General features: G+C 42.8%; 1 protein-coding gene across 3 annotated transcripts in view, besides 1 other annotated feature; it reads right to left on the reverse strand.

The window, feature by feature from the left end:
* PDE6D (phosphodiesterase 6D) overlaps window positions 212-25,425 on the reverse strand; it is a 48,850-nt gene continuing 23,636 nt past the window's right edge. The window contains exons 1-5 of one of the 3 annotated variants that reach the window (XM_047444726.1): window positions 8,658-8,885; window positions 6,879-6,981; window positions 5,792-5,917; window positions 4,966-5,071; window positions 212-812 (exon numbers count right to left, since the gene is read on the reverse strand). In XM_047444726.1, coding sequence (XP_047300682.1) covers window positions 731-812; window positions 4,966-5,071; window positions 5,792-5,917; window positions 6,879-6,981; window positions 8,658-8,735 — 495 coding nt within the window. In that variant the 5' untranslated portion in view covers window positions 8,736-8,885 and the 3' untranslated portion in view covers window positions 212-730. Of the gene's footprint in view, window positions 813-4,965; window positions 5,072-5,791; window positions 5,918-6,878; window positions 6,982-8,657; window positions 8,886-25,425 lie in introns of those variants that run through there. The other 2 variants (NM_002601.4, NM_001291018.2) reach the window with 2 other exon arrangements.
* Window positions 17,738-18,032: an enhancer, noted in NCBI's record as "tiled region #13150; HepG2 Activating non-DNase unmatched - State 23:Low, and K562 Activating DNase matched - State 9:DNaseU". NCBI's record gives its function as "activates a minimal TATA promoter and a strong SV40 promoter by Sharpr-MPRA in HepG2 and K562 cells {active_cell/tissue: HepG2 | K562}" and the evidence as "EXISTENCE:reporter gene assay evidence [ECO:0000049][PMID:27701403]".

Here is a 25,425-nt window from a genome sequence, read left to right on the forward strand (position 1 = left end):
AAGATTGTGTCTAAAAGACAAATGTTAAGGTCATGGGTTTGGTTCAAGTATGTTGCACAATTTTGGAAAGCAGTAACTGTGGCACTAGGGAACAAGATCTATCAGTTCCATTCCTGGAGTGAAATACAGTTGTGATCTTATATTTGGTTTCTTTCCATTATGCAGCCAGGTTCACTTTCCAGAAAAAGGAGAGATAAAAGCAGTGCCATGCTAAAGACTGTAGGAATATTTTAATTCATATTTTTAATTACATTATGTAATAATATCACAGTCTATTTTACAAGTTAAATGTATGAGAATGTATGAAATAGAAATGGTAGGAAAAAACTAAACATGGGTCAGGAACACGGAATTTTTCCAAAACCAGGGGCCAAAGGTAGATGTGTAGCCTGTAGGGCCCAAGGAGGAGACAAGGAGGGTGACAGGTACAGTTACCGGTTTGTGGTATGTGTTTGTTCCCTGTGTGTATGCTGGGAAGGACTTGAGACCTGTCCCCTGCCCTGGTCTGGGGTTGGGAGTTTAGTCTGGTCAGCTGGAAGATGGTGGCTTGGGAAAAAGAGCCATCTGGTTACCTACACAGAGCTGGTCCCCTGGTGGCTGCAGGTAGGTTCTGCTGTTGAGGGAATTAGGGGTGTATGTGTCAAAAATCAAACGTGTGGAGGAAAAAAGTAAACAGTTTCCTCCTCCCTCCAAAAAACCCAAATTCTTGAAATGTACACACATTCTTCTTTCAAACATAGAAAAGTCTCACTCTGGATGTGCTTACAAGAAGATCGTCGTCAAAAAACTTTGTTTCTATGATAACGTTCCCACTGTAAGTAAGAAGAGAAACAGAGGGCAAAAGAGAGTGAGCATGTTAGGCACAAGATTTCATTTCCACAAAGTGGTTTCCATCTGGATTCCTGGGCCAATGGACATGCACCCACCCAGAGTCTTAGCTTGGGGACATTAAAATCCTTGTCTATATGGGGCTACAAGTCTAACATGACATTTAACTTATGTGGTTACATTCATCCCTGTCAAGCTCACAAATCAGAAGTGAGAGCATGTCTCCACTCCTTGGTACACTCTAAAGCCCTTAGTAGAGTGCTCTGCACACAGGGTGCTTATAGATCCGACTGACTTTCTGATACTGCATTCATGGACACCTCTGGCTGGCTTACATATAGAAGCCTGCAGACCTCAGGGGCAGTATCCTTCCCTACAGTACTCACAATAGTCGAAAGGTGGGCTTTGGCCTGGCCCACATCTATTTTCCTGCCTTTGGGTAACAGCACCTTGCTCTTCATTTGGGAACCACCCTTCCTCCAGTCCATGTGCCAAGTGAGTGGCCCCTCACTCACCTGGCAAAAGGGTGAACAGAGGATGTAACTTAGGCCAATCAGACTCTTTCTCTTGAGCAAGATCCTTCCTGTAGCTTCTCCTTGAGGAAGCCATCCAGGGATTCCTGCCCATCTGCATCTTCCAAGCCGCCCAGCTCTCCCCCTTAGTCTTTCAGCTCTTGTATTAGCCAGAGCCTGTTTCTATGACTTACAACTACAGAACACTAAATGATGCACCTGTATTGTGAGGTGTGAGGGAAGAATTTCATTTTTCTTGGTGGGTATCTCGGTGCTCCCATTTGTAAAATGGGAGAGACCATGGCCTTACCAAATCACACTTGAGCTGAGTTTAGGGCAACTGTTTTTGGGGGTTCTAAAAAGTTAAGTAGCCGGGCACGGTGGCTCATGCCTGTAATCCCAGCACTTTGGGAGTCCGAGGTGGGCGGATCACAAGGTCAGGAGATTGAGACCATCCTGGCTAAACAGGGTGAAACCCTGTCTCTACTAAAAATACAAAAAAATTAGCCAGGCGTGGTGGCGGGCGCCTATAGTCCCAGCTACTCGGGAGGCTGAGGCAGGAGAATGGTGGGAACCCGGGAGGCGGAGCTTGCAGTGAGCCGAGATCACGCCACTGCACTCCAGCCTCCGCGACAGAGCGAGACTCTGTCTCAAAAAAAATAAAAAAAAATAAAAAATAAAAAGTTAAGTATAGTTGGTTCCCTACTTATAATGAATCAACTTATGATCTTTCAACTTTATAGTGGATTTATGGGGATATTAAATGCATTTTTGACTTATGATATTTTCATCTTATGATAGGTTTGAGACAGAGCGAGACCGTCTCAAAAAAAAACAGCAACAAAAAATCACGCCTCGTGAAGAAGAAGTCAAATGAAGTTTAATAAAATCTAAAAAAAAAAAACCCCTGCTTTCCTAAACTACTCTGTACTTTCCCAGGGTAATTAATAACCAGCAGATACATTTCTGCTGGTAATTAATTATAAAACAGGTAAATAGGCCGGGCATGGTGGCTCATGCCTGTAATCCCAGCACTTTGGGAGGCTGAGGCGGGCAGATCATGAGGTCAGGAGATCGAGACCATCCTGGCTAACATGGTGAAACCCCGTCTGTACTAAAAATATAAAAAAAAAAAAATAGCCGGGCGTGGTGGCGGGTGCCTGTAGTCTCAGCTACTCAGGAGGCTGAGGCAGGAGAATGGCGTGAACCTGGGAGGCGGAGGTTGCAGTGAGCTGGGATCATGCTACTGCACTCCAGCCTGGGCGACAGAGCGAGACTCCGTCTCAAAAAAAAAAACAAAAAAAAAAACCCCAAAAAACAGGTAAATAAGGTACTCAGAATCTGACTGGCTGATAAGATATAAAAATAGCTACTACTGTAATTAAAAAATCTACTTTTAGGCCAGGCACGGTGGCTCACGTCTGTAATCCCAGCACTTTGGGAGGCCGAGGCGGGCGGATCACGAGGTCAGGAGATCGAGACCATCCTGGCTAACATGGTGAAACCCCGTCTCTACTAAAAATACGAAAAATTAGCTGGGCGTGGTGGCGGGTGCCTGTAGTCCCAGCTACTCGGAAGGCTGAGGCAGGAGAAAGATGGGAACCTGGGAGGTGGAGCTTGCAGTGAGCCGAGATCTTGCCACTGCACTCCAGCCTGGGCAACAGAGCGAGACTCCATATCAAAAAAAAAAAAAAAAAATCTACTTTTAAAACTATTAAAACTTTAAAAAATTCTATTACAATTTTTTTTTTTTTTTGAGGTGGAGTCTCGCCCTGTCACCCAGGGTGGAGTGCAGAGGCGTGATCTCGGCTCACTGCAACCTCCGGCACCCAGATTCAAGTGATCTCCTGCCTCAGCCTCCCGAGTAGCTGGGACTACAAGCGTGTGCCGCCATGCCCAGCTGATTTTTTGTATTTTTAGTAGAGATGGGGTTTCACTGTGTTAGCCAAGATGGTCTCGATTTCCTGACCTCGTGATCCACCCGACTTGGCTTCCCAAAGTGCTGGGATTACAGGTGTGAGCCACTGCGCCCAGCCTCTTACAAAATCTATGTTGCCCAAGCTAGTCTCAAACTCTTGGACTCAAGCAATCCTCCCGCCTCAGCTTCCCAAGTAGCTAGGATTATAGGAAAGTGTCACCACACCTGGCTGTTAAAAAAACTATTAAAAACTTTAAAAAGGGGCTGGGCACGGTGGCTCATGCCTGTAATCCCAGCACTTTGGGAGGTTGAGGCGGGTGGATCACCCGAGGTTAGGAGTTCGAGACCAGCTTGACCAATATGGTGAAACCCTGTCTCTACTAAAAATACAAAAAAAAAATTAACCGGTGTGGTGGTGTATGCCTGTAATCCCAGCTACTTGGGAGGCTGAGACAGGAGAGTTGCTTGAACCTGGGAGGCGGAGCTGGCAGTGAGCTGAGATCACGCCACTGCACTCCAGCCTGGGTGACAGGGCGAGACTCTGTCTCAAAAAAAAAAAAAAAAACTTAAAAAGTAGAGACAGGCATGGTGGCACATGCCTGTAGTCTCACCTACTTAGGAGGCTGAGCTAGGAAGATCACTTGAGCCCAGGAGTTGGAGTCCAGCCTGGGCAACATGGCAAGACCCTGTTTTTTAAAAAAATAAAATAAACAAAACCCAAAACAAAAACAAAAAACCTTAAAGTCAATAACCTCAATTTTTAACAAATTCAATATGGCTTTCATAAAGGAACTGTTGAAAGAGATGATCCAATATTACACAATTATCTGTGGGACTAACTCTTTTTTTTTTGAAATAGAGTCTTGGTCTGCTACCCAGGCTGGAATGCAGTGACATGATCTTGGCTCATTGTAACCTCCACCTCCTGGGTTCAAGCAATTCTCCTATCTCAGCTTCTTGAGTAGCTGGGATTACAGGTGTGTGCCATTACGCCCAGCTAACTCTTTAGAAGGTACTATTACTATAACATTTGAGAGACTAACATCTTTCCCACAGACAATGGGAGGTAGGAAGTTATTGACAGTGTTTTTGGAAAAAGCACAAACAAATTGTTCTTGGAACAGGAACCAAAGCTATTAATATGGTAAGCCATTCTCCAAAAAACTGTAACCAAGTAGTATCCTCGAAAACAGAATTATTAATAGGACTTTGCCAGATTCTGTTAAAGGTGATCTAAACAAAATACAGAGATACCGGAAGTACGGTAGTCAGGAATGGGAGCAAATTAACATAGATTCGGTATATATATTAAATGCCAGTCTCCTTCCATGTCATCACATTTTATCTTCATTACACCTCTGTAAGACAGAATTAATTTCTGTGTTTAGAGATGAAAGACTAAGGCTCAGAGAGATAAAGTATATTAGTGCCCAAGATGACACAGGTAGTCAGGGTGAATCAGGAATTTAAATCTGGTTTAATCTAAAGTTTTATTTTTATTTTTAGTTTTTTATTCTTTCTACTCTATCATACTGTCTTTTTCATATGAAAAAGGTCAGGAACCTGGAAACCTAGATACCCTTGGATACTCTTTTACTCTATTTCTCAACCGAGCTCTCTGCCCACTGAATGGCACCAGGAGTCCCACCTGCCTGGAATGCCTGTTTCTAGACACACTTCATAATTTCCTGAGACCTGCTCACTCACGTTAAGACGCTTGCTGGCATCATCTGGGACTCGGGTGCTGCCTCTATCAAGGACTGCCAGGTATTTGTGGAGTTAGGGATCACAAAGCCAAACTCGAAGAACCATTCTGAAGGAAGAAGGAAAAGCCGGGGTGAGCAGGTGCCCCAGTATAAAGTTTAAGGGCTCTTTGTCTCCCTCTCTAGAGTGAGCCTCTTCCTACCCTGAGAACCACCAAAGGAAGCTATCAGCAACCTCTCAGACCAGGGGCGTAAAAAAGACAGGGAAGCCTGCTCAGGTTGTCCTCTGAACCACACCAAAGGCTTGCTTCTCATGCTTTGAGGTCTAAAGGACTAGGACCAGCGAGCAGGACACAATATAAGCAGCATTTTCTTAGAGGTAGGCTAGATGTGAACTATATATAGATACATAGTTAAATTCACTTGGAATTAGCTTGAAGGGGCTTATGTGCCCTTTACACTGCATGGTGAGAATTCAATGCAGAGTGGCCTTGCCAGTCAAATCTGTATGATACTGTATGTAGAGCACTGTACTAGGCCCTGCTCATAGCAGCTTCCTCCATGATCATATCACAATACAACGTCAGTGCCTAAACCAGGCACCACCATCCACGCTCCCAGTGTCAGAGACCTCAAAGCCCCTTGTAGTGGCTAGCTTTGTTTTGGTTTGTTTCACTGGGGATTCACAGTCTTGCAGAGTGTAGGAATCCTACCACAAACTGAGTTGTAAAAGGAATGTTATCAAAGCACTGCTTTAGTTCACTGGGTATTGTTGCCTTTTGTCCTGGTCGCCCTAAGCCCTGATTTCAGGCATGTAGGCAGCAGAATACCTTCTAGGCATTGCCCTTTGAAGTAAACTTTTTGTTCCAGGCGGAATTTTTCCATTTGTTCTGTCGAAGAAAAATTAAGTTCTCGAGACACTGCCTTGCACTTGAGGATTTTCTTGGGAACACGGGCTGGTAAGAGAAAAACAAATGTTGAAGCCTTTCTAAATGAAAACCACAGGACTATGATGCTTCAAATTTCTGGGAGCTTCTTACAGCTGATTTAGAGAACACTTTCTTACAGCTGATTTAGAGAACACTTTCTTACATTTTGGATAATGCCTTGGTAAGTGCATTACACTTTGTGTGGCTGAAAGCAGAGGTCTCTAATTGGTCACCCGTATCTGAAAGATATTAGATCTTCAAGGAACACCAGGTTTTGTGCATCTAAGGGCCTCATCTAACTACTCTCATCAGGAAGGGGGCTGCATGGGTACCTTCTCTCTACTCTGTTCTGGTGATTTTAACCCCTTCCTTCTTCTTTACTTCAGGGAGATAAAAATGCAAATTTTCTTTTGGAGAAAAAGTTGAGATCTTAGTTTCTATCTTTGGGTATGTTCTAATGGTAAAATATCAGCACAAAATGGGTTTTGGGAAGTGAGAGAAAGAACTGTTAAGAAAGTAACTGGCTGGGCGTGGTGGCTCACACCTGTAATCCCAGCACTTTGGGAGGCTGAGGCGGGCAGATCACTTGATGTCCGGAGTTCGAGACCAGGATGGCCAACATGGTGAAACCCCATCTCTACTCAAAATACAAAAATTAGCCAGATGTGGTGGCGCACGCCTGTAGTCCCAGCTACTCGGGAGGCTGAGGCATGAAAATCGCTGGAACCTGGGAAGCAGAGGTTGCAGTGAGCCAAGATCACACCACTGCATTCCATCCAGCCTGGGTGATAGAGCAAGACTGTGTCTCAAAAAAAAAAAAAAAAAAAAAAAAAGAAAGTAACTGAAACTGTCAACAACACATGGATTAACATGCTGTGTCTTCAGGGGCTCACCCGCCTATTAGGTATGTGTTAACTTAGCTCTCTTATGCTCAGGTGCTAGTCTGGCATTGGTCACAGCCCTGTGTAGATAAAGGGTTGGAAAGTACCTTCATGCTCCACACCAGGGACAGACAGGTCTTCTGTTCCTTGCCAGAGTATCTTCCCTGTCTCAGCATCCCGAAGGTTCATCCAATTTCTGATCAAATATGACTAAGGAAAAATAAGGCACTGAAAGTGACTCCCACTTTGTATTCTAGGTGTCTCATGTTTACTCCCACCAACTCTTGTTTACTTTTTAAAAAGTTTGTCAAACTGCTCATTGCCATGGAAGCACATAAGAATGTGAGGAGAGTCAAAAAGACATCTAAAGGAAGAAGCAGAAACCTAGAGAAGTTACTTTTATCTATGAGAATCCTAAGACTGCACACACCTAGAGACTGCAAGAAAGGGACAGAAAACGAATAGTGCAAAATTTAAAATTTACCAACAGGATCTGACCAACCAAGATAAAATACCTAAAGAAACAAATATCAGATGTACCCCAAGGAAACAACTCATGAAGATCACTCTATAGTGAATGCCACAGTCCATAAACTTCACCCACAAGCACAGAACTCTCAAATTGCTTTGTAGTGGCCCCCTCTGTTTTTTTTTTTTGAAACAGAGTCTCACTCTGTCACACAGGCTGGAATGCAGTGGCACAATCTCGGCTCACTACAACCTTCATCTCCTTGGTTCAAGCAATTCTTGTGCCTCAGCCTCCTGAGTAGCTGGAATTATAGGAGCACGTCACCAAGCCCAGCTTATTTTTGTATTTTTAATAGAGATGGGGTTTCACCATGTTGGCCAGGCTGGTCTCGAACTCCTGACCTCAAGTGATCTGTCTGCCTCAGCCTCTGAGTGCCCTGTTTTTAAATATGAGAAGATAGCCAAGTATCAACAGAAATTTAAGAAAGCATTTATTATGAAAGACAGACCAAAACAAACTAAAAGAAAAAAGTAACTTAGAAGAATAAAGAGGCTTACAGATAAAGACATAAGTTTTAAAAAGGAGCATTAAAAAAGAGAGATAAGACATAACCTTTACAGACACTAAAAATTAATATAATAAAATTCTGTATATTTTAGGTGAATTTCTCTGGTTTGAGGTTACAACTTATGAAGCTGGTTAACTGATGTTCTCTGTCAGAAAATGCCTTCTAACATAAGTATTTATATTTTCTAGTTTCTGTATTGTTTCATACATTAAATGAGTCAATAATACCAATTTAAAAAAGAATATTCAGAGAACAAAAAAGAACTCTAGAAACACATATATTTTGATAGCAGAACCAAACAACTCAACACAAAGACAAAATTGAAGAAAGCTTTCAGAACGAAAAAGGCAAGGATAGAAAACAGGAGAGCAGGCTGAGTGTGGTGGCTCACACCTGTAATTCCAGCACTTTGGGAGGCTGAGGTGGGTGGATTCCTTGAGCTCAGGAGTTTGAGATTAGCCTGGGAAACATGGTGAAACCCCATCTCTACAAAAATACAAAATTAACAAGTCATGGTGGTGCATGCCTGTGGTCCCAGCTACTCTGGAGGCTGAGGTGAGAGGATTGCCTGAGTCCACAAAATCAATGCTGCAGTGAGCCGAGATCATGCGACTGCACTCCAGCCTGGGCGACAGAGGGAGACCCTGTCTCAAAAAAAAAAAAAAAAAAAAAAAGGAGAGTAAAGGCACAAAAACTTATAGTCCAAGAATAGTCCAAGAGTTCTAGTGTCTAACTAATAGAAGTTCTAGAAAGGTAGAACAGAGAGAACAGAGGGGAGGATGGCATCAATAAATTAATTCAAGAAAATTTCGTAGATGGAAAGTGTCTAGGCCAGGAGCGATGGCTCACCTGTAATCCCAGCACTTTGGGAGGCTGAGGCGGGCGGATCACCTGAAGTCGGGAGTTCGAGACCAGCCTGACCAACATGGAGAAACCCCATCTCTACCGAAAACACAAAATTAGCCAGACGTGGTGGTGCCTGCCTGTAATCCCAGCTACTCAGGAGGCTGAGGCAGGAGAATCACTTGAACCCGGGAGATTGCGCCATTGCACTCCAGCCTCAACAAGAGCGAAACCCTGTCTCAAAAAAAAAAAAAAAAAAAAAAAAAGGGTGTAGCAAATGCCCAAGTCACATCATTAGTGCATTTACAGAATATCAAAGATAAAGAAAAGCGAAAAGCTTCCAGAGGTTAAACAAGTCATTATACAAAGGGTCAAATCAGAATAGGAAAAAAAATCAGAATAAATCAAATTCAAAAGGAACCCTGGAGGGTAGGAGACAACTTAGCAGGGCCTTTAAAATTTTCAGGGAAACAATTCCTGAAACAAACTAAAAAATATTTGCTTTCTTAAGAAACTAAGGAAAATATGGCTTCATCAAAATGACAGAGAAAACCAAGAAAGGGGATGACATGGGATATAGCAAGCAAGAAACAGCTGAAGGGAGTCCCCTGAGTGACAGTGAAGGAAGATCCCAAGACAATAGCTCTTTAACAGGTCTGGAGAGTGACTAGTCCAGGGTCCAGGCTAGAGCAGGTCACAAAGCTCAGGAAGAGATTTTCTTTTAAAAAGATAAAATTCATAGAATACCTAGTGTGTTTATATGGAAAGGAGATTTATACAATTAGAGGGAGATTTTGGGGTCAAATTCATGAGAAGCACAGAAAATCTAAGCAAATGACAAAAATCCAAGTACTGACATCAAGAAAAATTAAAGGTAGTACTGGAAGAAAAAAGTAGTCATAGTATAACTCATGGCTTCATTGCAAGTAGTGCTGATATGGTCATAACAATGAAAGCACATGCTAACACCCAATATAATTTACCTGGGAGGATGGGGGAACAAGAGTATGTATATCTGGATAGTCAGGCACGAAATGTTGAGAAACAACAAAACTGTCATTTTCCGTAGTGGAAAGTGGATAAATAATGCTAAAATGGAAACATTACGACATAGCCACATTTTGCTTTTTAGAAATACCAAGATGAATACCAAATAAATAAGCTAAAAAGGATTGAAAATAGTTTTCTCTGGGGAGTAGAAAATAGGGGGACAGGGAGTGGTGCTCTTCATTAGAAACTAGATAGACTGTGTTTTTTGTTTTTTTTTTGAGATGGTTTCGCTCTTGTTGCCCAGGCTGGAGTGCAATGGCATGATCTTGGCTCACTGCAATCTCCACCTCCTGGGTTCAAGCAATTCTCCTGCCTCAGCCTCCTGAGTAGCTGGGATTACAGGCATGCACCACCATGCCCGGCTAATTTTTGTATTTTTAACTGGAGATGGGGTTTCTCCATGTTGTTCAGGCTGGTCTCAAACTCCCGACCTCAGGTGATCCGCTTGCCTTGGCCTCCCAAAGTGCTGCGATTACAGGTGTGAGCCACCTTGCCCGGCTGACTATGATTCTTTAAATGATGAACACATACAACTTAATAAAAATAAAGACTAACTTTAAGAAGAGAGTGCTAAGGTTTTTTTTGTTTTGTTTTAAAAAACAATTGACAAACCATTAAAGGAAAAGAAAATTAACATTATGCAAGCACAGAGGCTGTCTGCAAAAGATCGTTAATATTTGCGAAGAGACTGAGCTGCAGATAAATATATGTATAATATAGATATAGTTTACATGTGTCTTTTTTTTGGTTTTCTTTTTTTGCTATCTTGTGATCAGACTCTCTTCCCAAAGAAGAGAGTCTCTACCTTGTGGAAGGCAGTGACTGCTTTGCACTACAGCAGCTAGAAAGGCCAGATCCTTTTCTCCCAGCCCTGGCATAATCAGGGGTGAGCACAAGAAGGCCTAGCCTTGGACACGTGCTACCCAGTTCTGGGGTCCTGAAGCTACAGGACTTTCGAGGGAGTTGGAAGTTCTTCAGGGTGGGGGCAGCAGGGGCATGCCAACCTGCCCTTTCCTACTGTGTGGTCTTTGCTACAGACCCTGTCCTTCAACTTCCAGGCAGCTCCAAAAGCCTCAGATACCCTTTCCCATTGTTTGAATAGCTTGCAGTGAAGAACCCTAAACAACACAGCTGACTGGAATCATCATGTGTGTAATAACACTATATTTTACCCTCTGGAGAGATTCTGTCTAGGTTTTGCTGCTATACGAGAAAAGTCTCGGCTGGGCGTCGTGGCTCACGCCTGTAATTGCAGCACTTTTGGAGGCCGAGGCGGGCGGATCACGAGGTCAAGAGATCAAGACCATCTTGGCCAACATGGTGAAACCCCGTTTCTACTAAAAATACAAGAATTAGCTGGGCGTGGTGGTGTGCGCCTGTAGTCCCAGCTAATCAGGAGGCTGAGGCAGGAGAATCGCTTGAACAGAGGAGGCGGAGGTTGCAGTGAGCAGTGAGCCAAGATCATGTACTGCACTCCAGCCTGGCGACAGAGCAAGATTCCGTCTCAAAAAAAAAAAAAAAAAAAAAGAAAAGTCTCAAAATATAACAAAGGGTTATTCAGCAGAGTGCCTGCAATGTGATGAGGAGTCTATCTTTCTGTGCACTCAACCTGCTTGTGGGCATCCCTGCATGAATGTACTGTCGCTTTCAGATCACATTGGCTGTGTCATTCTCCCCTCAGGGTGTGCAATTCCTAACAAACTCTCCTTCTATGCTCAATACATCTCCAGACAGTGCCGTTCCTCTCCACCCGTGTGATCTGCCTTCCTCTGGTTCATATTTTCAAACTCCACTTTTTTTTTTTAAACAACTAAATTCAAAAGCAAGTTCACATACTTCCTTAGGTCATGTCTCACAATTATAATTACTATAAATATGCTCACACATCCCAGGGTCTCTATATGTTAAGAGAAAGCTTCCCAACGGCAGAAGGAAAACAACAGATACTACTGCTCTATCAATCCCCTCTGAGCTCAGATCTAAACTGTCCCAGGCAGCTAAGCCCAAGGTTTTCTGAAGACATAGTCCTCATTCGACCTTCTCTGAACAAGCTTTTCATTCTTTCACAGCCGATAGTGTCCTATGTACCCACTACGGCAACATGGACATCAGACTTTCTTAAATTAAACAATAAGACTAAACAAAACTAAAATGACTTCTACAGTTCCAGGCTCACAGGCAGATGAGGCATTCTAGCAAAACTAGAAAAGTCCCGGAGGGTCCCTGCACAAAGCTGCAGTTGGAGCAGACTGAACTTCCAGAAAAAGCACTACTGTGACTGGCAGAGGTCAGAAAAGCAAAGCCTGGGGCCAGGACTTACTCTTCAATCTATGTATTAAATGATAAAAAAGAAAGATGTTTTAAATTAGTCTTCTATCTGGCATTTAGTGAATAGTAAATTTAAGCTCCCCTTATTTCAAGGGAGAGAAGTAGCTAAAAATACATGGTTGATTTCCACAACATGAATGTCTTTTCTCTGTAAATAACCAGGTTAAGGACTTAATTGCTTTTCTTTTTTTTTTTTTTTTGGAGACAGAGTTTCGCTCTTGTTGCCCCGACTGGAGTGAATGGCACGATCTCGGCTCACCACAACCTCCGCCTCCCGGGTTCAAGTGATTCTCCTGCCTCAGCCTCCTGAGTATTTGGGATTACAGGCATGCGCCACCATGCCCGGCTAATTTTGTATTTTTAGTAGCGATGGGGTTTCTCCATGTTGGTCAGGCTGGTCTCGAACTCCCAACCTGAGGTGATCTGCCTGCCTCGGCCTCCCAAAATGCTGGGATTACAGGCGTTGAGCCACCGTGCCCGGCCCTAATTGCTTATCTTTTTGGGAATCACATAAAAATATATTCTATAAAATATATTTATATGTTTAGCCAGTTCAATATACATAGTTATTCCTGCATGTGCCCTAATCTGGAAAATTATCTACCAGTATCTATATCATGTGCATCATTTTATAATCCTTGCACATTTTAATCCTTAACAAGTTTTGTAAGATTTTATCCTCAATACAGCATTAGAGAAATACAAAGAGAGCTCCATCCAACGACGTTGGGATTGAGGCCATTGAAGGCCCCTCTAAGTTCTGTAATTTTAGGGGTGAAAAGGAAGCCCTTAGTTCATGGTAGAAATGCAGCAATTTGGGAACATCTTTATAAAATGGAAATCCATAATAGTCTATTAGTAAGGAGAAATAAAAGTTATTAAGGTAGATGTCTTAAAATAATAACAATGAGAAAAGCTGGTCCTCAAAAGAGGAAACTTCAAGTTGACTTCTGAGGAGCCAAAACAAAAACAAAAACACACAAAAAAAACCGAGGAAACATTTGGCTAAAAATGCTAGAAATGAAAGACAAGCTTTGATGATTGGTCATCATCTGGCTAAAAACATATTTGTTTTAACAGCTTACTGCTAACCAGATTTTTTAGAGAAAAAGAGCCTGAGTTTTAAGACTCAAAGGTCAAGTCACTTCCAATCTTGAGAGGAGGATTAGGTGGACAGGCTTTAAAGGAGGGGCTGGAGTACTATTTATAAGTTCTACCCTCTGGGTCAGCCAGGTCTTTGTTCATTTAAAAGCTCCCTGGTGATTTATACGAAGGATGAGCACAAAGGAACATTCCTTTCCTATGGGAAGCCTCCTGCTTAGAGGAGATCGGGCTCTGGTACCCTCTAATTTGGAACCAGGCAAACATAAGGAAGCACTTTCGTATGTAAAATAAGAATATCTTAAAAGTAAGCTTCAGAACAAAACCAATAGTTTGCAAAGTATTAAGCGTTAGGAAAGGTAAAAAAGGAAGTAAATATTCCATAAATATTATGGAAGAATGGGTGACACTTGGCTCAACACAGGTTACGCAAATCCTCTTGTGTCTTACAGAATAGTTGTGACCTGGTGTGATTTAGGTGCAGTCTGGTGCTGGAGCTGGGGGCAGACTTGAGGTATAGAAGGCAGTGAAGGAGGTGGGTGGTAGAATGGGAAGGGAAGGATTGGGGATCAGAAGAGATCAGTTAGATGAACGGGGTACTAGGTAAATTTCCTTGAGAGATGTGAAAGTAGAAAACAGGATAATAAAATGATTTGAACCAAGCTTGTCCAACCCATGGCCTCTGGGCTGCATGTGGCCCAACACAAATTTGTAAACTTTCTTAAAACTTTTTTATTTATTTTTTAGTTCATCAGCTATCGTCAGTGTATTTTATTTTTTAATTTTTATTTTACTTTATTTTATTTTTGAGACGGAGTCCCAATCTGTTGTCCAGGCTGGAGTGCAGTGGTGCAATCTCGGCTCACTGCAACCTCCACGTCCCAGGTTCAAGTGATTCTCCTGCCTCAGCATCCTGAGTAGCTGGGATTACATGTGCCCGCCCCCATGTCCGGCTAATTTTTTGTATTTTTAGTACAGACGGGGTTTCACTATGTTGCCCAGGCTGGTCTCAAACCCCTGACCTCAAGCAATCCACCTGCCTCGGTCTCCCAAAGTGCTGGGATTACAGGCATGAGCCACAGTGCCTGGCCCGTTGGTGTATTTTACATGTGCTCCAAGATAATTCTTCTTCCAATGTGGCCCAGGGAAGCCAAAAGATTGGACACTCCTGTTAAAGTAGTTTGTAACAATCATCTATGAGTATTTTGGAATGAGTACACTGGTTCTGAGAGACTTGATTCGTTTTAAATGGAAATAGTCAACATCATTTTTTATATAATAAACAGATCCACACTACATGCCCGTACCTCACCGGCCAGTTGAAGGAGGAAGAAAGAGAAATCAGGGTAAGAGAACAGAGAGTGAGAAGGAATGGGGAAGACAAAAAGCAGAAAGAGAAAAGAAACACGGGGGACACACACAGGAGAGACACAGGGACGGAGTGAAGGGGAAAAAAAGACTGAGAAAAAACACAGAAAGGCCCACATACAACTCAGAACCAAGAGACAGAGCCAGGACAGAAGGCAACAAAAAGGAAGAGTCTCCGAAAATTTGGAGATAGATCCCATACAGTTTTCTTCCTACTTTAATACTGTATAGCTGTCTGGGTTAGTGAGTTTCACAAGACAGTTTGAAATTGATGAGAACAGGAGGAAGACTAAGTATTCCAAGTGTTAAGCTCCTCTGAAAATGTTAATTGGCTGGTTCATAGTTTCGTGTAATTTATCATCCAAACGATGATACTTTTTTTCTTTTGAGATGGAGTTTCGCTCTTTGTTGCCCAGGCTGGAGTGCAGTGGTGCGATCTCGGCTCACTGCAACCTCCGCCTCCCGGGTTCAAGCGATTCTCCTGTCTTAGCCTCCTGAGTAGCTGGGATTACAGGCATGCGCCACCACACCTGGCTAATTTTTGTATTTTTAGTAGAGACGGGGTTTCACCATGTTGGCCAGGCTGGTCTTGAACTCCTGACCTCAGGTGATCCGCCTGCCTCGTCCTCCCAGAGTGCTGGGATTACAGGCGTGAGCCACCACACCCGACCTATGATACTTTAAAGAATGAAAGAGTGTGCTAACTGAAGAGCACATTTAAATGAGCTGGTTCATAAAATGTGCTACAACAGTCCTTGGCATTAGTAAGCCATGTGTTAGCTATTATTATTATCAATGACAATTAATTCTTTATTGTCTCCCATCTAGCATTCTGACTGGTTTTCCCCGCTTCTATTCTTGCCTCCTTCTCCATTCTCTTCATAGAAGGAAAGGGTCTTTTAAAACTGTAAGTTAGATGTCAATCCCTGGCTTTCCTCTGCACTTAAAAAAATCGAGTTCTTTCCATGGTCTACAAGGCCCCTCAATCACTATGCCCTAGGCACAAAAGCCTCTTAACTCTTTCTCCAATACACTAATACCTCTTCTCACCTGCACCAAGCAGCCTGAGTACTCTTAACCTTATTCTTCACAGCCTCAGGTCCTGGTGTCAGTGGCACCTCCCTTGAGAGGTTCTTGGGAACACTGAGTCCACAATGGGTTCTGAATGCACTATTGCTTCTTCCTCATTTTCTCTTGCCGCCGCCATGTAAGAAGAGGCTTTCACCTCCCGCCATGATTCTGAGGCCTCTCCAACCATGTGGAACTGTAAGTCCAATTAAAGCTTTTTTTTTGTTGTTCCCAGTTTCGGGTATGTCTTTATTAGCAGCATGAAAACAAACTAATACAGTAAATTGGTACCAGTAGATTGGGGGCGTTGCTGAAAAGATACCTGAAAATGTGGAAGCAACTTTGAAACTGGGTAACAGGCAGAGGTTGGAACAGTTTGAAGGGCTCAGAAGAAGACAGGAAAATGTGGGAAAGTTTGGAACTTCCTAGAGACTTGTTGAATGGCTTTGCCCAAAATGCTGATAGCAATATGGACAATAAAATTCAGATGGAGATGAGGAACTTGTTCGGCACTGGAGCAAAGGTGACTCTTGTTATGTTTTAGCAAAGATACTGGTGGCATTTTGCCCGTGCCCTAGAGTTTTCTGGAACTTTGAACTTGAGAGAGATTTAGGGTATCTGGTGGAAGAAATTTCCAAGCAGCAAAGCATTTAAGAGATAACTTGGGTGCTGTTAAAGGCATTCAGTTTTATAAGGAAAGCAGAGCATAAAAGTTTGGAAAATTTGCAGCCTATGTGATAGAAAAGAAAAACCAATTTTCTGGGGAGAAATTCAAGCCAGCTGCAGAAATTTGCATAAGTAGCAAGGAGCCTAATGTTAATCCCCAAGACCATGGAGAATGTGTCACAAGGCCACATCAGAGAACTTCCCTGCAGCCCCTCCCATCAAGGACCCAGAGGCCCAGGAGGAAAAAGTGGTTTCACGGGCTGGGCCCAGGTTCCCCATGCTGTGTGCAGCCACTTGGTGCCATGTCCCAGCTGCTCCAGCCGTGGCTAAAAGGGGCCAATGTACAGCTCGGGCTGTGGCTTCAGAGGGTGGAGGACCCAAGCCTTAGCAGCTTCCATGTGGTGTTGAGCATGCGGGTGCACAGAAGTCAAGAATTGAGGTTTGGGAACCTCCGCCTGGAGTTTAGATGTATGGAAATGCCTGGATGCCCAGACAAAAGTTTGCTACAGAGGCAGGGCCCTCATAAAGCGCCTCAGCTAGGGCAGTAAGTAAGGGAAATGTGGGGTTGGAGCCCCCACACAGAGTCCCTACTGGGGCACTGCCTAGTGGAGCTGCGAGAAGAGGTCCACTCTCCTCCAGACCCTAGAATGGTAGATCCACCAACTTGCACCGTGCACCTGGAAAAGCCGCAGACACTTAACGCCAGCTGGTGAAAGCAGGCAGGAGGGAGGCTGTACCCTGCAAAGCCACAGAGGCGGAGCTGCCCAAGACCATGAGAACCCGCCTCTTGCATCACCGTGACCTGTTTGTGAGACCTGGAGTCAAAGGAGCTCATTTTGGAGCCTTAAAATTTGACTGCTCCGCTGGATTTTGGACTTGCATGGGCCCTGTAACCCCTTTGTTTTGGCCAATTTCTCCCATTTGGAATGGCTGTATTTACTCAATACGTGTACCCCCACCGTATCTAGGAAATAACTAGTTTGCTTTTGATTTTACAGGCTCATAGGCGGATGGGACTTGCCAAGGCAAGGCAAAGTCTCAGATGAGACTTTTTTTTTTTTTTTTTTGAGATGGAGTCTCACTCTGTTTTATTTTTTTTGAGATGGAGTCTCACTCTGTTCAGGCTGGAGTGCAGTGGTGTGATCTCAGCTCACTGCAATCTCTGCCTCCCGGGTTCAAGTGATTCTTCTGCCTCAGCCTCTCAAGTAGCTGAGATTACAGGCACTTGCCACCATGCCCGACTAGTTTTTTGTATTTTTTAGTAAAGATGGGGTTTTGCCATATTGGGCAGGCTGGTCTTGAACTCCTGACCTCAGGTGATCCAGCTGCCTTGGCCTCTCAAAGTGCTGGGATTACAGGCGTGAGCTACCGTGCCAGGCCTCAGATGAGACTTTGGACTGTGGAGTTTTGGGTTAATGTTGAAATGAGTTAAGACTTTGGGGGATTGTTGGAAAGGCATGACTGGTTTTGAAGTGTGAGGACACGAGATTTGGAGAGGCCAGGGCAGAATGATATGGTTTGGCTATGTCCCCACCAAAATCTCAACTTGAATTGTATCTCCCAGAATTCCCAAGTGTTGTGGGAGGGATTTAGGGGGGAGGTAATTGAATCATGGGGGCTGGTCATTCTCGTGCTATTCTTGTGATAAGTCTCACGAGATTTGATGGGATTATCAGGGGTTTCTGCTTTTGCTTCTTCCTCATTTTCTCTTGCTGCTGTCATGTAAGAGCCTTTCGCCTCCCGCCATGATTGTGAGGTCACCCCAGCCATGTGGAACTGTAAGTCCAATTAAACCTTTTTCCCCCGTTTCAGGTGTGTCTTTATCAGCAGTGTTAAAACAAACTAATACAACCTACTATGTACCGGTATTAATGTCAAAGTTGCATCTAAAAAATTTGGGCAATATGTTTCATTTAAAATGACAGGTGGTATAGAGGGGGACAATATCTTTAAATTCATATATTATTTGATAAAATTTATGGTCTTAGTTATATATGTGAAAATATATGTCTATTTCATCCATATCACTTTTTTTTTTTTTTTTTTTTAGACAGAGTCTCACTCACTCTGTTTCACTCACTCGCTTTGTTGCCCAGGCTGGAGTGCGATCTCAGCTCACTGCAACCTCCTCCCGGGTTCGAGAGATTCTACTGCCTCAGCCTCCCAAGTAGCAGGGATTACAGGTGTGTGCCACCATGCTCATCTAATTTTTTTTTTTTTTTTTTTTTTTTTTTAGTATAGACTGGGTTTCACTGTGTTGGCCAGGCTGGTCTCGAACTCCTGAGCTCAAGTGATCTGCCCACCTTGGTCTTCCAAAGTGCTGGAATTACAGGAGTGAGCCACCATGCCTGGCCTCACATCACTTTTTAAAAATATTTTTTCACTGCAAAGATGACAGAATGCATTATATTCAGGGTTACCTTGTATATGGACATTATTCTCATAATTTTATGGGTTCCTTCTAGTTAGAACCAAATAACTTATTCACTCATCTCCTTCAAAATAGCTCATATGCAAGTTGACACTTCTTAATGATACTGAGATAATCCTCTAATGATATTATCCCAAATCCTCATTACCAATCTAGGGATGGAAAATCTAAAACATTTCAATTCATATCAATTCACCAAGAAATAAATTGTTTTATCAGGTGTTATTCTATTCTAGTCTTTTTTTTTTAAAAATAAACATTTATTTTAGAATAGTTTTTTTCTTTTTTTTGAGACAGGGTCTTGCTTCATTGCCCAGGCTGGACTGCAGTGTTGCAATCACTGCTCATTGCAGCCTTGAGCTTCCAGGCTCAATTGATCCTCCCACTTCAGCCTCCTGAGTAGCTGGACTATAGGCACTTACCACCTCGTGTGGCTAATTTTTTAAAAACATTTTTTATAGAGATGGGGCCTTACTATGTTGTCCAGGCTGGTCTCAAGTGATCCTCCCACCTTGGCTTCCCAAAGTACTGAGATTACAGGCGTGAGCACTATGCCCAGCCAAGAACAGTTTCAGATTTATAGAAAAGTTGCAAAATAGTAGAGTTCTCATTTATTGCACACCCAGTTTACTCTATTATTAACATCTTACATTTGTCACAACTAAGGAACCAATATTGATGTTATTGCTCCTCTTGGATGTGAGAGATTCTCAGACTTTCCTTGTTTTTGATGACCTTGACAGTTTTGAGGAGAACTGGTCAGGTATTTTGTAGGATATCCATAAACTGGTATTTAATGTTTTTCTTATTATTAGACTGGAGTTATGGGTTTTTTGGGAGGAAGACCACAGAGATAGTATCATTTTTATCACATCAATATCAAGGATACATGCTATCAACATGACCGATCGATGCTGATGTTAACCTTCATCACCTGGTTGAGGGTACTCTGTCAGTTTCTTCCATTGTGAAGTTACTCTTTTCCTCTCCTTTCTACACTGTCCCCTTTGGAAGGGAGTTACTAAATCTGGCACAACTTAAGGGGTGGTGAATTATGCTCTACTTCCTTGAGGGATAAATAACTATATGAATTACTTGGAATTATACACTGGAGATTTATCTCTTCTCCCCATTTGTTTTATTCAATCATTTATATCAGTCCAGCTTTTTTTAATCAAATGACTGTGCTCTGATACCTAAATTTTTATCACCAAGATGAAAGTATTTTAACACTAAGAAATCTGCTTAGAAATATTTATTTGAGATGCTTACATGTCTCAGGAATTCATTTGAGTTATGGGGTAAGACAGAAACCACAGGGTATGTTAGTTTATAGTCAGAAGGAAAAGCTGAGAGAGGGGAAAATACAGTTGGTTTAGAGCAGAACACCTGCTGTGGAGTCCAAGTTCTATCACGTAGCAGCTGTGATCTTAGATCAGTCATTTAACCTGCCTGAGATTTAATTTGTAAACAACAGATAATATGAAGGCCTTACAGTTGTTCCAGGATTATATGAAATGCCTACAAAAATGGTTTAGAGATTATAAAACACGATATAAGCAAGTGTAGGACATTATTATGCCATAATTCTTCAGGATTGAAGGAGGCACATTATGGAAGTGACTTTTTATGAACAACTTCAAATTCTCTAATAAAAGCATATATTATTATCTTATTCTTTCTCTAAAATCTTCAAAAAGGAAAACACAACTGAAAGCTTATTTGTATTAATTAATGTTTGACTTGAGTTTTATTCACTCAAAACCTTGTAATTCCTGGAAAACCTGCTGCAATCTTTTGTGCTGCTCATATATTAATCTTCATCTCTTTGCTCATCCTCTTTTGTTTTAGAGATAAGGCCTAATTCTACTTTTATACTTGTATTATATATATATTAAATATTAGATAGATATATACAGAGCAGAAATTATATTTGAGAGATTTGAGTTTTTTTTTTTTTTTTTTTTGAGACGGAGTCTCACTCTGTCGCCCAGGCTGGAGTGCAGTGGCGCAATCTCAGCTCACTGCAAGCTTCGCCTCCCAGTTCACCCGTTCTCCTGCCTCAGCATCTCGAGTAGCTGGGACTACAGGCGCCCGCCACCACGCCCGGCTAATTTTTTGTATTTTTAGTAGAGACGGGGTTTCACCGTGTTAGCCAGGATGGTCTCAATCTTCTGACCTCGTGATCCGCCCGCCTCGGCCTCCCAAAGTGCTGGGATTACAGGAGTGAGCCACCGCACCCGGCCTTCTCTTTTATATTACTGGTCCAACAGCCTCCCAACTCATTTTTCTCCTCCAGTCTCTGGTCCATTGTTTCTCAAAGGGTGGTTCCATGACCTTGTTAAAAATGCTGTTTCGGCCGGGAGCGGTGGCTCACGCCTGTAATCCCGGCACTTTGGGAGGTCGAAGTGGGCGGATCACGAGGTCAGGAGATCAAGACCATCCTGGCTAACACAGTGAAACCCCGTCTGTACTAAAAAATACAAAAAAAACCCCAAAAAACAAAAAACAAAAAACATAGCTGGGCGTGGCGGCACGCGCCTGTAGTCCCAGCTACTCCGGAGGGTGAGGCGGGAGAATGGCGTGAACCTGGGAGGCGGAGCTTGCAGTGAGCCGAGATCGTGCCACTGCAGTCCAGCCTGGGCGACAGAGCAAGACCCTGTCTCAAAAAAAATAAAATAAATAAATAAAAATAAATAAACAAACAAATAAAAATAAATAAATAATAAAAGATAAAAATATAAAAAGCCACTAGCTTTCACATAGATGAGCTTTTGCATGGAAATAAATTAAATAACAAATAAAAAATGTAAAAAACCCCTCTAGTCTGGCTTTTACAATCTAATACATTGTGACCAGAGTGCCAGTCCTAAAATACAAACTGGATCATATCATTACCTCCTCTTCAAAAACCTTCAATAGGTTTTCACTGTTCAGAGAAAAGTGCTAACTTCTTAGCTTAGTATTGAAAGTTTACATTGTGGCTCAAAGATCTCTCTGGCTTCCCTTTCTGTTTTACACTCCTTCCTACACCCATTCTCATCCAGGCACAGTGAATATACTATGCACATATGCCCCTCTATGCACTCTGGTGAGCTTGCACACTCTTGTCTGAAGCTTCTCATAAGACTTCAAACATCAGCAACATCAAAAGAGTTGAGTGGCCTTTCAGGGACCCAATTAAGTGTTATGATGACCATAGGACCACATCAGACAAAGATGATAAAGGAGGGAGGAATAAACCTCTCCCTAACTTAGAGGATCCCTGTGGAGGTAACCATGACAGAGGAAAATGGGAGTAACAAAGACAGCAATTATTGTTATCAGAGGCTGGCTACAAGTGCCCCAGATGTACCATACCATGTACCAACTGCAGAGTAAAGCCAGCCATATCACCCCAAGAGAATCTCTCTAAAACAAATCATCTCAATAGTCTTCACTTCCATTGCTGTGAGAAGAAAATGGCTTTTGTCTTTTTTTTTTTTTTTTTGAGACGGAGTCTCCCTCTGTTGCCCAGGCTGGAGTGCAGTGGTGCGATCTCAGCTCACTGCAACCTCCACCTCCCAAGTTCAAGTGATTATCCTGCCTCAGCCTCCTGAGTAGCTGGGGTTACAGGCGCCCACCACCATGCCTGGCTAATTTTTTTTTTTTTTTTTTTGGTATTTTTAGTAGAGACAGGGTTTCACAATGTTGGCCAGGCTGGTCTTGAACTCCTGACCTCAAATGATCCACCTGCCTCAGCCTCCCAAAGTGCTGGCATTACAGGTGTGAGCCACCACGCCCAGCCTTCTTTTGTCTTTTTTTTTTTTGTATGAGAATGCCATTAATGCCATGCAGCAAAACTTATTCCAAAGAATGGCAGTTTCTCATTGTGTGATGAGACTAAGAGAAAGGTAATAAAGTAGACTGGTTAAGTGCCCTGGCCAAGGTTACAGAGCAACGATAAAAGGATAATCTTCTTCTTGCTCTGCTATCACCTTTCTTATCCTCTCTTCCAAAGACTAAATTTTACCCTTATTTCTTACAATGAACTAAATGTTTATGTCCCCTCCAAATTCATACATTGAAATCCTAACCCCCAATGTGATGGTATTAGGAGGTGGGCTTTGGGAGGTGATGAGGCCATGAGGGTGGAATCTTCATGAATGGGATCAGTGACCTACAAAAGGGACCCTAGAGAGCTTTCTCCTCTCTTTGAACCACATAAGGATACGAGAAAACAGTAGTCTGCAACCTGGAAGAAGGCTCTCACCAAAACCTGAACATGCTGGTACGCTGATCTCAGACTTCCAACCTCCAGAGCTATGAGAAATGTTTCTGTTGTATATAAACCACCCAGTCTTTGGCACTTTGTTACAGCAGCCCGAAATGACAGATATCTCTACTATAAATTTTTAAAATTACAGTGCTTTTTTTCATAATGAAATAAAGAACAACTTACTTGTAAAAAGACCCAGAAAAACTAAGTCTTAAGCACTTCTATAAGCACCAAAGTGCTCAAACCGATGACAATTCTGATTTCAGTCATAGGCTCCCAATTCTGGGGAAGCTGATTGCTTATGAAAGTGATTCACGCCGAGCCTGTAATCCCAGCACTTTGGGAGGCAGAGGTGGGCGGGATCACTTGAGGTCAGGAGTTCAAGATCAGCCTGGTCAACATGGTGAAACCCTGTCTCTATGAAAATACAAAAGTTAGCCAGGCATGATGCCCAATATTTATTTTCCTACCACACAAGATCTCTAAAAAAAAAGTTGGCTGGGCACGGTGGCTCATGCCTGTAATCCCAGCACTTTGGGAGGCTGAGGCGGGCGGATCAACTGAGGTCAGGAGTTCCAGACCAGCCTGACCAACATGGAGAAACCCCGTCTCTACTAAAAATACAAAATTAGCTGGGTGTGGTGGCGCATGCCCGTAATCCCAGCTACTTAGGAGGCTGAGGCAGGAGAACCACTTGAACTTCGGAGGCAGAGGTTGCAGTGAGCTGAGATCGTGCCATTGCACTCCAGCCTGGGTGACAAGAGCAAAACTCCATCTCAAAAAAAAAAAATTATATATATAAAGCCTATTTCTCTGAAAATAAAAACTGTGCACTTCTGAAACTTTTATGTACAGATTCTGGTAGAGAAATGGTTAAAAGAGGTAAAAATGTGATGACAGAGCTTTTCTCTTGCAGAATAATCCACTGTGCATCTTTATAAAAGTTCCCTAATTACAGAACATTTCTCTTTTCTTTTCATTGTAAAGAGACCATTAGCAAAATTACTCTCTTCCCCTATAATGCAAGCAGACTGGGGCAAGAACAGAAGTTTTGGGGGCAGACCATTTCTTTTGTTGAAGTTGTTGGAGTGGTATTTATTCCCAAAGGTTTGGGCAAGAAGACATATTCGACTTTGATTACAACATAGCTTGGCCATCATATACCATTGAAGTTTTCAAGATGTTGCTCTAAGGATTTTCCAGCTTTCCACATCATAATGTACATATTAATGCAGAGGAAACTCAAACTGTAAGAGATATTGGTTGTCCTGAAGCACAATTCCAACCAAATCAATGGTTTATTTATTTGTTAAAGACAGGGTCTCACTCCGTCGCCTAGGCTGGAGTGCAATGGCACAACTGAAGCTCACTGCAGCCTTGAACTCCTGGGTGCCAGCAATTCTTCCCACCTCAGCTTCTTGGGTAGCTAGGACTATGGGTGCAAACTACTAAACCTGGCTTTTTTTTTTTTTTTTTTTGAGAGACAGGGTCTCTCTCTGTTGTTCTAGGCTGATCTCTATCTCCTGGCCTCAAGTGTTCCACCTACCTTGGCCTCCCAAAGTGTTGAGATTATAGGCATGAGCCACCACACCTGGCCCTAAACCAAAGATTCAAAGAGAAAGTTTAGAAATATAACTCCAGCCACAGGTTGCAATCCAAACATCATTAAGAATTCCCTGTGGTGAAGCATCTTCTGAGAAAGTGAAGTCAAGCTCTATGTGTTAGGTTTAAGTGCTCAAAAAAAAAAAAAAGATAGTATTCAATTGACTATTGTTGTAAAAGCCTTAGAGAAGGGCTAATCTAACCTCGCTTCCAGATATCTTTTCTTTTTTTGAGACAGGTTCTCACTCCTGTTGCCCAGGCTGGAGTGCAGTGGTACGATCACAGCTCACTGCAGCCTCAACTTCCTGGGCTCAGGTGATCCTCCCACCTCAGCCTCCTGAGTATGTGGGGCTACAGGTGTGTGCCACCACACCTGGCTAATTTTTTATATATTTAGTAGAGACAGGGTTTTGCCATGTTGCCCAGGCTGGTTTCGAACTCCTGGGCTCAAGCAACTTGCCTGCCTCAGCCTCCCAACAGACATCTCCTTTTAAACATGTCCCCTCCTGTGGACCAGGACAATTTCCAAACACTAAAAGTTTCAAGTATTAAACGATTTATTTTTTTTCTTTAGATGAGTTTTGCTCTTGTTGCCCAGGCTGGAGTGCAATGGCACGATCTCGGCTCACTGCAACCTCCGCCTCCCAGGTTCAAGCAATTCTCCTGCCTCAGCCTCCCCAGTAGGTGGGATTATAGGAGCGTGCGACCACGCCCAGCTAATTGTTGTATTTTTAGTAGAGACAGGGTTTCACCATGTTGGCCAGGCTAGTCTCCTGACCTCAGGTGATCTGCCCACCTCAGCCTCCCAAAGTACTGGGGTTACAGGCGGGAGCCACTGCGCTCGGCTAAACAGTCAATTTCTTAAATCCCCATATCAGTATGTAAATAAAATTAAGGTAAAA

The sequence above is a fragment of the Homo sapiens genome, chromosome 2, assembly GCF_000001405.40.
Source record: "Homo sapiens chromosome 2, GRCh38.p14 Primary Assembly".
Taxonomy (NCBI): domain Eukaryota; kingdom Metazoa; phylum Chordata; class Mammalia; order Primates; family Hominidae; genus Homo; species Homo sapiens.